Source organism: Homo sapiens, chromosome 1, assembly GCF_000001405.40.
Source record: "Homo sapiens chromosome 1, GRCh38.p14 Primary Assembly".
NCBI lineage: Eukaryota > Metazoa > Chordata > Mammalia > Primates > Hominidae > Homo > Homo sapiens.
Genome location: NC_000001.11, coordinates 211,362,966 through 211,375,025, shown reverse-complemented (window position 1 = coordinate 211,375,025; position 12,060 = coordinate 211,362,966). Strand labels below are relative to the sequence as shown.

Below are 12,060 nucleotides of genomic sequence, written 5' to 3'. Positions count from 1 at the left end.
AAAATTACTGTCCTGTTCATAAAAAAAGGAAAAATAGTTTACATGGATCCACCTTGTTTAAAACAAAAATCACAACTCGTTTTGTGAAAAAGAGGTGCTTTTTACTCTAGTATTCCTTGTTCTGGGATCACTTAATCACTATTTCGATGATGAAGGAACTCTGAACTCCTAAGCAAACCATGCCATGACATACTTTATATATATGCACAAAAGTTGGATAAAACACAAAACCAGCATTTTGACAAATTCACTTTAAAATGTTTTCCACATCAACTACTTAAAAGAAGTTACAGCAATATGATCTTCCACTGCTCAGGAAGACAGAGTGAACTTGGATATGATGAATATTAAAAACAAACATACAGAGCACCTGGGTCTGGACTTGTGGGCTAAAGAAATGCTTCCTGAATTTGTCCGAGGTGATGTGTTGAGCAACCGTGCCACAGTTCACCAGCAGTGACACTCTAGTTCTTCAGTATATTCCTGTTGTGAACCTATTTCTTTGAATTTAATCATCTGGGATGATTGCTGCAGTGTGAGTCTTTAGCATTTTGAAAATCCCACAGAAGAGATTAAGAAGGTTCCTCTTCCCAGAAGACACTCATATAAAGCATGCTTCTATAGGGTTAACTGTTCAGAAATTGTAAGGTGCATGGTCATCACCAGGTAAGCAGCTCTACAGGGGCCCATGGCCCATACTCATCCTTGCGTGCCCAGGGGAGCCAGCGTGCATATGAGCAGTAGGGAAGTGGCATAACAACGCAGAAGGGCTCAGGACAACTTGGCATTTTTGTTGTTGTTAAACTCAGGCTTATCAAGAGTCATAAGGACTCATCTCAGTTTGTATATACACCTTCAGACCCATACAGATAGATGCATAAGAATATGATCATTTCTGTTCTTCACAGAGTACTCAGAATTCTGACAAGAAACATCACAAGTTTATATAAATGCCCATTTGCATAGCAGCTTACAAATTCAATAGTTGTCAGAGGCTTGACGCGGTGGGTCATGCCTGTAATCTCAGCACTTTGGGAGGCCGAGGCGGGCAGATCACTTGAGGTCAGGAGTTTGAGATCAGCTTGGCCAACATGGCAAAACTCCGTCTCTACTAAAAATACAAAAATTACCTGGGTGTGGTGACGGGCGCCTGTAATCCCAGCTACTCAGGAGGCTGAGGCAGGAGAATCACTTGAATTCGGGAGGCAGAGTTTGCAGTGAGCTGAGATCATGCCACTGTACTCCAGCCTGGGTGACAATGAAACTCTGTCTCAAAAAAAAAGTTATCAGAGAATAGTAGATACTGTTTTAGCCATCAGTTTTCGCTGAGAGTACTTCTGACACCCATAGGAAATTGTAAAGGTTTTCTCCTCAAGTTGTAAATTCCTTTTATCCATTTATGACATTTTCTCTATCATATACTAAATTCTATCCATCCTCACATTGATTTATTACTGTCACCAAAATACATTCGAACTGTTTGTATACACACATATATAGGTGTATATGTATGTGTGTGTGTATATATATATTTATTTGGTTGAATCTTATGAAACTGCTAATTTTTTACCATTTTTGACCTATGAAAATAGTTTTTTTCATAGGGTTGAACCTAACAAAATCTGAACTTTAGCTAGCTGGCTATATCTCATATACTATGCAGTACTTTCTGCTTTACTTCAGCAGGAAGAATGAAAATGCTTACCCCATTCACCAGTTCTTATGCAGCCTTGCAAAACTGTGCTTGCAAACTGCTGGTGAATTTCATGAAAATACTTAGAGGTATAGTAATTTTCATATATTTAGCATTTAACTGAAAAAAAGGTCCAAACTGAGCATATTATCTTTGTAACTACATCACCCACTACTTAACTGGAACAGCCTACCTTATAAAGATGGCTTTTGCAGACTTAAGGCCAGGTCTAGAATCAATAGGCCAAACAATAAAATATCAAAACATTTTCAACTGGGATTCTGCTACCTCTGTGTCCTCCATAACACTCAATATTTAGAGTGCCCGAGACACTGCGCTAAGCACCAGTAAAAGAGAAACGCCCCAAAAACTTCAAGAAACTTACCATCTTTCAAGAAATATAAAAATATAAATAATAAGAGAATATTCTAAGAGTTTTAAGTTTCAAACTGGGACAGAGTAAAATGTAAAAAGACAGCACTTCAGAAGTTTTAAACTGACTTCAAACGTTAAGGAAAAAGGCAAATACAAATGTGCTTTGAGTCTAAATCCAGGTCAATATGATAATCAAATGTGCTCTCCTCCACAGTTCTGGCCCCAAGAAGTCCTCTTATCACCCCATAACAGTGACTAGAGATCCTCCAGGTCAGTTAAGTCCACGGCCACTTTCAAGAACAGAGTGTCATCTTTAATGTAGGCGTTCTTGGCATTCTCCAAAACAGAATGAGCCACAAAGCGGGGACAGCCAGATGCAATGTTCATCTCCCCATCAGGTCTTTTAAAGCTGCTGCTATTGGGGTCAGGTTTGAAGGTCTCCATAATGTTCTTTTTGCCACTCTGGTCCAGAAGCATCAGGGTCACCCTCTGCCTGAATGGCCACTGCAACAGTGAGTCAAACTCTCCTCGCATGACCACAAAGTATAGGGACAGGTGTGACCCCCTCCCTGACCCATCCCCATTCAGGTATGCTCTAGCACAGAGCCGGTAGCCACAGCGGCTGGTGTAGAAGGACTGGCTGAAGATGGACACTGTGTGCCCATCCACCGCCTCTCTCTTCTTCATCTTGTAATCTGTCACCTTCCAAATGAGCTTTCCATTATAGCAAGTACCCTCCAGCAGTTTAAATCGCTCTTCATTTTTACTCAGCTGTGCTTTATGAATATTAATGTGGGTATCATGTTTGTTAGTTTCCTCTTCTAAAACGGCTGCAAATAAGAAAAAAAAAAAAAAAAGATTCCATAGGCCTAAAAGTTATCTTTAAAATTTTCCCAAAGTGGAATTTTGTTACCTGAAAGAGAATCAACAAAATCCTGCCATCCTAAAGATGAGCTGAATTCATTTGTTGTAGTAATATTAACTCAGGGAATATCATGTCTTGGCACAGTGCCTCCAAGGAAACCTAGATGTGTACTCTTAAACTCACTGAAGTGTAGAGAAGACACACTGAGCATTCAACTAGCGTGAATCAGCATGCTGAGCCCCAAACTTTTCTAACTAGAATGCTTTTAAATGGCCAAACCCTTTAATATTTTTCCATACCTAAAACAATGATCCCATCACATCTCTCCCTGAGTCTTCTCATTATTTTTCATTCTTCTTTAAAGTCATCAATCCCTTTCTTGGAATTTGCTGGCCTGTTTCCAGTCTTGGAATTTCCTAGCCCAGTCCCTCAACCCCCCTTGTGGCCCTCCCTCATTTTTGCCTGAGTGGCCAGAATCTTACCATTCTCTTTCACAAATAGCAGATTCAGCCATTGTTTATCCTGGACAGATGTGACTCTCTATTTGGCCAGGTGTTTGGTTGTTTCATGAACACATGCAGACAAATGAGTCACCAAAAGAGAAATAAAATATCAGACATACCTAATCTTTGATCATTGTTTTCTAGCAGGGTAATTTTCTGTTTCACTGTATCAACTGCTTCCATCAAAGGTCTCAGGTCAAATTTATTTTGTTGCTGGTTAACCATTTGTAATAATTGATGCACTTGAGCTTCTAGCCAAGCTGACTTGTCAATGTGACTGGCAAAAACCTTTCATTACAAAATGGATAATCATGTTTAAAAAATTAGTTAATATTTTAGCAATTCATTGAGATTAAAATTTTTTTCAATTCAAACATATCACATTTAATCAATTAACAGAATGAAAAATACAAGCCCAGAAAATAAAATTCAATGAGGATCACAGAGAGATGAGCCACCTAATTATCTTCCTCCTCCTCCTCTCCTACCACAGCTCCTGTTCTAAATGTTTGAACTTTTCTTTATCTGATTTTTATCCTCCCTCTGTTTCCCTCTGCTTGGTTCTCCAACCTATCTTTATATATTTATTTTCATGTTGTTTCTCCTCTTGCCCTATCACTTCTTTCTCTTCTTAGAAGCCAATCTCCTGATTCACTCCTGCTCTGCTAGAAGGTGGAGAATGAAATGGAATACGCCCACCTGTTCTGGCCTGAGCTCTACAGGTGGTGCAGAAGGCCCTGAGTACGGCCTAAACTTTTGACTGCTCTCTCAGGTGGAAGAGACTAAATAAAACTACTCCTCCCTTTTCCTATGTGTGTACAATATAAGGTATGGCTACTCAAAGTACCCATTTTGTTTTTCACTTTCAGTATTTGATAAATTACATGTGGAATTCAATACTTTATTACAAAATAGGCTTTGTGTTAGATGACTGCCCAACTGTAGGCTAATGTAAGTGTTCTGAGCATGTTTAAGGTATGCTAGGCTAAGCTATGATGTTTAATAGGTTAGGTGTATCAAACACATTTTTGACTTACGATATTTTCAACTTAATGGGTTTATCAGGACATAACTCCATTGTAAGTCAAGGAGCATCTGTGCATATTAATGTATATACACATGTGCATATATACTTTATATATATTTCACATACATATACATTGTATGTATATGAAGGGTGTGTGTGTGTGTGTGTGTGTGTGTGTGTGTGTTTAATGTATAATGTGCTGGCCAAGTATGGAAATTATAGGGCCTAGATTTTCTGGGATAACTTAAATTTCAAATATATTGCCTACACCACATGTCTTGAAATCTTTTTCACTATAAATTTTATAATCATGATAAAGACATTATTCATCAGAATTCATTTATGGTTATTTAATGTTCATAATTTACAAAGTATTATTTTTGCTATATTTTAGTGATGTTTAAAGCATTTTCTTCCCAAGGAAATTAATAGTTTCACTTGTTGACCACAAAATGCAGAACTACAGATGCTCTCAATGAATCTGCAATCAAGTGATTAATATGGCCCAACATTAATTAAAACCCTAATTGCTATAAATTATATAGAAGCATTGTATCAATGTTAAAGTTACTGATATTGCTAAACGTACTGGGGTTGTGTAAAAGAAGATCTTTATTCTTAGGAAATACATACTGAAGTATTAATATGTAGAGGTAAAGGGCCATAATATACGCAGCGTACTCGCAAATGGTTTAGAGAGAGCACGTGCACACACATGCACACGCACACACACACACACATACACGTCGGGGGAGGAGCAGTGGAGGGGAGCATGAATGATGAAGCAAACGGGACAAAATGTTGGCCATGAGTGAATCAGGGTGGAGGTTATACAAGTGTTCTTTGCACCATCTTATTCTTACAGCTTTTCTGTATATTTTAAATTATTTCTATTTAAGAAGTTAAAAGAAAAACTCTCACTGCAATTGAAAGCCAAATCTTGGCTTTCAACGCAAAGGCCATTTCTTACCTGGATGTTTGGGAGGAAGCTTCCATTTTTGCCAAACAACTGTGCAAACTGCTTGAACTCCTTTTCAAGTTTCTTTATAGTTTCTGCTAGCTGCTGGATTTTACTTTCTTTCTGTTCTAGGCTCTTGTGTAAGTCAGAAATCTAATAACAGGAACGTGAGGAAAAATAAAGTCACTGAATATAACTGCATGCATATAGTTAAAATATGCATGCACTTGCAGCTAAGAAAGTATTTCTAGGAAAAAATCTACATATTTATTTCTAGGAAAATATTTACAGGGTAGATTCCTACATAATTATAGGAAGATATTCACAGGTGGTTCCAAAAAGCCACATCTACAGAATTTCTCATCAGCCTTTTCTATACCTAACCTACTATGATGGTTCACCTAATGACAGACATCACCTGACTGAATTTACTGAACTGGTTCTCTTCATTCATTCAACATGGACTTATTAAGCAACCACAGAAGCCAGGCCCCTGTAATCTCAGGTACCTGGGAAGCTGATGGGGAGGATCACTTGAGTCCAGGAGATTGAGTCTAGCCTGGGCAACATAGTGACACCTTGTCTCTTAAAACAAAATAAAACTACCACCAAAGAGTACTGATCACCATACCACATTAAATGTTACATGCACAGTAGCAAAAGTAATAATGACAAAAACTTGCTGACTGTCTATCATACCCTTATATTCATTAGCTCTTGTATGCCTCAAAGAACCCTATGAGTTGCACGAATATTAGACTCATTTTTCAGATGAGGAAACAGAGGTAGAGAGTTTAAGTAACCCATCCAGCATACAAGCCAGCAAGTGATAGGCAAAATGCGTGGGTAGCATATTGACAGATTTTATAATCTACTTGAAAGAAACAGATACCTAAAGCTGATCCTAGACAGCTCTTCTCTTATTCCCATATCCATTCAATCTGCAACAGTTGCCAATTTTAACTTTTAACATGACAACAGAAACAAAAAGACTTAAATCCATTTCTCATTTCAGCACTAGTTTCAGTCTTCATTATTTCTCTCTTGGGCTGCAACAGCAGCTTTCTAACTGGTCCTGCTCTACCCATTCTACCCCCAGCACACACCAGAACATAAGTTCCATGGGAGCTGGAACTGCCATGAACCTCACAGTCCACTATGACCCCAGCAACTGGACTGGTGCCTGGTACCAGTAGGTGCTTAATAAATATTTGTTAAATGAATGAACAGCATGAATGCTCTCCCTGGCTTTAGTCTTGTTCTCCTTCAATTTGTACTCCTTACTGTGACCAGAATAATATTAAGAGACAAATCTGGTCTTGAGCCTTCCCTGCATAAACATTTCTAGTGGCTTGCTTTTACAGGTGACACTGGGCCCTACGTGACCTGCCCCTGGCTACACTTTCAGCCTCAAACCCATTCACATTCCACATGCATCCTGCCCAGCAAGACCACACAACTCCTATTTTGTCAGGCTCTGCCCTCTCAGACACCTCTCTCTTCATCTAAAAACTACCACTTTTTAAGCCTCCACTCATGGGTACATCCTCTTGGAAATATTTCCTTACTTGCACCACCCGCCGAGACCACCTCTCAAGTTCCATGATACCCTGTCCATATTCTAGTGTATAAATCATCATTATCATGCTTATAACTTGCTTTTTGTTGTTGTTTTGGTCTTCTCCATTAAATTGTATCTTGAGACTACATCTCATTTATTTCTTTATCCTTAGAGCCTAGGACAGTGCCTGGCACAGAGAGGGCATTTGATACATATTTTATGAATGAATGCACAAATGGCTGAGACAATCATTTGATCTCTGGCCCTGGAATCCTTTATTTAGACCCCTAGAGCTGACTTCCACCTACCTGCCTGACCAAAAGCAAACTCCTTGTCTCTCTCTGCACCCTCACCTCTAACATGCTCCAGTTTTGTAGTGCCCATCTTGGTTAATATCATTACCATGTCCCCTCCCTACTCAGCTTTCTGCATGTCATTTACAACCTCAGAAGGCCTCTTGATACTCTCTCTCTTTCCAGTCCACTGACATGGACTTGGTTGAGCCTTCACCATCACCACCACCACCTCCAGCATCTTGCTTCCACCTACTATTGAAGTACTTATTATGTGTTAGGCATTGTACTACTAGCTTAACTATATTATCCCTTTTTACCATCACCACAACCCCATTTACAAATGAGGAAACTGGGGATGACAGAAATGAGGTAGTTTGTCCAAACTCATATGGCTAGTGTGCAGCCTGGCTGCAAACCCAAGCATTCTGGCTCCAGAGCCTTCACTCTTATCAATTGCCATGCTATTACCAACTGTCTTGCTTTAAAAAAGAAAAACAAACAAACCGCTTTGGGCGGCTGAGGCAGGCAGATGGCTTGAGCTCATGAGACCAGCCTGGACAACATGGCAAAACCCTGTCTCTACAAAAAAAATACAAAAATTAGCCGAGTGTGGTGGTGCACACCTATAGTCCCAGCTACTCAAGAGGCTGAGGTAGGAGAATCTCTTGAGCCTAGGAGGCAGAGATTACAGACAGTCCAGATCGTACCAGTGTACTCCAGCCTGGGTGACAGGGCCAGACCCTATCTCAACAAACAAACAAACAAACAAACAAACAAACAATTAGCTGACCAAGTGTTTTCCAATTAAGAAACCTCCATTAGCTCCCTATTATTGAAAAAAACATTAGTTCAAACTTCTGGCCCTTAAAACCTTTCTGAAACAAGGCAGAGTATAAATGATAAAAAAATAATTGAATGCAGTGTTCAAAACTTCTTAGGCTACACGGAAGGCCACTGCAATCTGGATCCAACACACCAGTCTCTAGCCTTTCTCTATCTCACACTCAGAAGTCCATTCATCCTAAAACCCCATTTCCTTGACTCATCAGGATTTCTTATGCCTCCCTGCTTCAGTGCAAGCTCTCCCTTTTGGATGTCCTTCTTCCACAACATTTTAACTGATGAATCTTTCCTACTTCAAGAGGCAGCTTGGATGTCTTACCTTGAAAGTCTTCCCCAACTCCCCTAGAATAAACTGCTGCAGTCTCTGTACCCCAGACTGAGTTACAGCATGTCCTACAAGGCATGACAACTTACCTGTTTACATTTATGTTAGTTCTTCAAGGGTAGAGGCTACATCTTCCTTGGCTCAGTGTCCCTAGCAGCAAACATTGTACCTGACATACAGTAGGTGTTTCTTGAATGAAAAGATGGATGAATGAGGCAACTGATACAGAAAAAACTTGGGAACGGTTACTAGGGAGCATGCCTTCTACCAAAGTTACTGTTTAATCAGTCTTCCTAATTTTCTCCAGAATCTGACCCTGGAACTCACACACCTACTTTAATAGAAAATCAGACATCAAAAAATCATCTGCAGTAGTAAACATCAGCTCCTTTTCTGAAAATGGATGGTTTTCTTCCCTACCTGGGCTTGAAAAGTCTGATTTTCTGAGATGTTCTAACAAAATAATTAACTTTCCTAAAAATTGCTCAATAGAATCAGCATTTATTGAGGTTAATAGGAATGCCACAGGCACTATGGCAGGCATTTGCATATAATTTCCCTTGATAATCACAACTCAGTGAAATAAGTGTGTATGTATGCATTTATTGGGTTGCAAAGCTTCTGCAAAGGCAGTTTAGACTTATCACAAAATTTATAAAACCCATAGTGCTTAGAATAGTCAACTGTTGTTTCACAGTAATATTAATTTAACTGAAACATCAAATTGCTAAGTGTCAGATATTAACCAAAAGGTGTGTAGACAGGCTATTGAGAGGCAGTTATGGTATACCATGGGGAGTACTGGACTTAGAATCAGAGGACATGGATTTTGAGATTGAATTATGCTACTTACGATTAAAACATATAAAAATTTCTCAGAGTTCAGTTATTTTATCTGTTGAATGAGGAGGATGGACCCAAGGATCCTAAGGGCACCTTCCAATTCTAATGTTCTATAATCCTATGAGCCTGTTTGGCCACTTAATAGAAAAACATCTACCTCTAATTGACTTATACTGAAACAGGGGAGAATAGAAAAATACCAGCATAGAGCAGGTAAATCCCAGCAATTCTGTTGCCTCACTTTTTATTTGAACCTTTGAAGATTTACCTGTTCTTCTAATTGGACATTCTTTTCTAAAACCAAACGCATGTGCTCCCGTAAGGCTGAATGCTCATGTTGCTGCAGGTTCCTCCGTTTATCCTTCAATATGAAGAGAAAAATAAGTCAGGTTGCTGAGAGGCTCCAAAAATGAAAGAGGTGGTAGGATATTCTGCTAAAATAGAATCTTAACAACTTTGCTTACTTTAATAGTTTAAACACGCACCAGTCTCTAGGTGGGTTGCAGGAAAAATGACTCCAGTGGGTCCCTTTTCCAGCTTTAGTTTGTTTTTGTTTGTTTTTTTTTTGAGACAGCCTGCTCTGTTGCCCAGGCTGGAGTACAGTGGTATGATCTTGGCTCACTGCAGACTCTGCCTCTCGGGTTCAAGCGATTCTTGTGCCCCAACCTCCCGAGTAGCTGGGATTACAGGTGTGCACCACCACACTCAGCTAATTTTTGTATTTTTAGTAGAGACAGAGTTTCACCATGTTGGCCAGGCTGGTCTCGAACTCCTGACCTCAAGTGATCTGCCTACCTTGGCCTCCCAAAGTGCTGGGATTACAGGTTTGAGCCACCATACCTGGCCCCAGCTTTAGGATTCTACAATATCCATGAGACAGAGAATCAGGCCAATATCAAAATTCTCAGTGCTGATTTTCTTCCTTGCCCTGGGAGTATATGACTATGGGTTAAGCGTAGTTATTATCATCTCTCAACTATTCCCATATAAAACCTATCTCCTTTGAGGGTTATCTTCAAATCAGTTTTGTTTGTTTGTTTGTTTGTTTTTTGAGATGGAGTCTTGCTCTGTCGCCCAGGCTGGAGTATGGTGGCACAACCTTGGCTCACTGCAACCTCCACCTCCTGGGTTCAAGTGATTCTCCTGCCTCAGCCTCCCGAGTAGCTGGGATTACAGGCACATGCCACCATGCCTGGCTAATTTTTGTATTTTTAGTAGAGACGGGGGTTTCACCATATTGCTCAGGCTGGTCTCGAACTCCTGACCTCATGATCTACCTGCCTTGGCCTCCCAAAGTGCTGGGATTACAGGCATGAGCCACAGCGCCTGGCCTCTTCAAATCAGTTTTAAGTCAACGCTAGTTCTTCCTCCTGTCAAGCACATTTCCATGCTGCCTCCAATCACGGACTGGCTGCCATGGGCAGGAGGAATGCCACCTGATTTTAATTTCAGCCCATACAAATTTGTTGCCCTCAAAACCATAGACTACATTTGCAAGAAGAAATGGTTGCTTTTTCCCTAATCATTAAAATATTTTTTTTTGTAGACTGCCTATATTACAGTAAAAGCAAATGTTTGTTAGGTGTTCAAGGTGATCCATGCAGTTTAACTAAATATTTATCATCAATTTTCATTCGGGTTAGGGTTGGCTTCTTTGGTGACAGGCTGTCCTAAATAAGGTTCCGGAGAATAACTCCCCCAGCCATCCCAAGCTCTGGTGCTGAGGCAAGTTCTAGAATACAAACCAACTGGAGATTTGGGCCTGACTGTAAAGATCATTTTTAGAGCTAGAAAGCAATTCTGCTTTTTTTTTTTTTTTTTTTTTTGAGACAGGGTCTCACTCTGTTGCCCAGGCTGGAGTACAATGGCATGACCTTGGCTCACTGCAATCTCTGCCTCCCTGGCTCAAGGGATTCTCCCACCTCAGCCTCCCAAGGAGCTGGGACTACAGGGTGCGCCACCACACCTGGCTGATTTTTGTATTTTTTGGTAGAGACAGGGTTTCAATATGTTGCCCAAGCTGGACAATTGTGCTCATGCACAAGAAAGGTAAACCCTATTCTTTTTGCAGCCAAGACAACCTCTGGTTTGATATGTGACAAATTTATAGACTCTTCGCTGATTTTTTTTTAAATCCTTCTCAGAATATACATTTTTTCAAATGGTTTTTAAAATAAAAGAAATATGTGCTTATGTCAAACAACATAAGATGAAGAATAAAAAGTAAAAGGCCTCTTCTGTCCATCTCCACACCCACTTTCCTAGTTTTACCAGAGTGTCAGTAAGGATATACACATTTTTAACACAAATGAGAACATACTATATTTAATTTTTTACATATATCTCATTTTTATCAGCTACATAGTATTCTAAAATATGAATACATAATTATATAGTTGGTGTTTTAATGATAGACTTACAGGTTGTTTTTAGCTTTGGGTTGTGGGGTTTTTTTGCTATACAAACAATAGTAGAATAAACATCTTTGTGTGTCTTTGTGTATGTGAAATCACTGTATAACTTAAGAAAGGATATCTGTAACATAAATCCTAGCAGAAATGCAGGGTCAATGTGTGGATTCATTTTTTATTTTCATAGAGATAACCAAATTGCCCTAAAAAAAGTGAGATATCATAAGATGTTTTAATCTTTGTCAATTTGATGATATTAAAGTATATTTCTTGTTATAATGTATATTTATTTAGGAGTGAAACTGAGCATCTTTTCTTACATTTATCAGCCAAATGAATTTTTTTCTGGAACTGCCCATA

The 12,060-nt window shown here is 39.4% G+C and overlaps 1 protein-coding gene across 9 annotated transcripts in view; it reads right to left on the bottom strand.

Moving 5' to 3' along the window:
• Positions 1 to 79: 79 nt before the first annotated feature.
• Positions 80 to 12,060, bottom strand: part of TRAF5 (TNF receptor associated factor 5) — a 48,312-nt gene continuing 36,331 nt past the window's right edge. For 5 of the 9 annotated variants that reach the window (XM_011509960.4, XM_011509957.4, XM_047429574.1 and 2 more), the window contains 4 exons: positions 9,558 to 9,650; positions 5,434 to 5,574; positions 3,556 to 3,724; positions 1,131 to 2,898 (listed from right to left, as the gene is read on the bottom strand). In XM_011509960.4, coding sequence (XP_011508262.1) covers positions 2,324 to 2,898; positions 3,556 to 3,724; positions 5,434 to 5,574; positions 9,558 to 9,650 — 978 coding nt within the window. In that variant the 3' untranslated portion in view covers positions 1,131 to 2,323. Of the gene's footprint in view, positions 2,899 to 3,555; positions 3,725 to 5,433; positions 5,575 to 9,557; positions 9,651 to 12,060 lie in introns of all 9 variants that reach the window. The other 4 variants (NM_004619.4, NM_001319207.2, NM_001033910.3 and 1 more) reach the window with 1 other exon arrangement.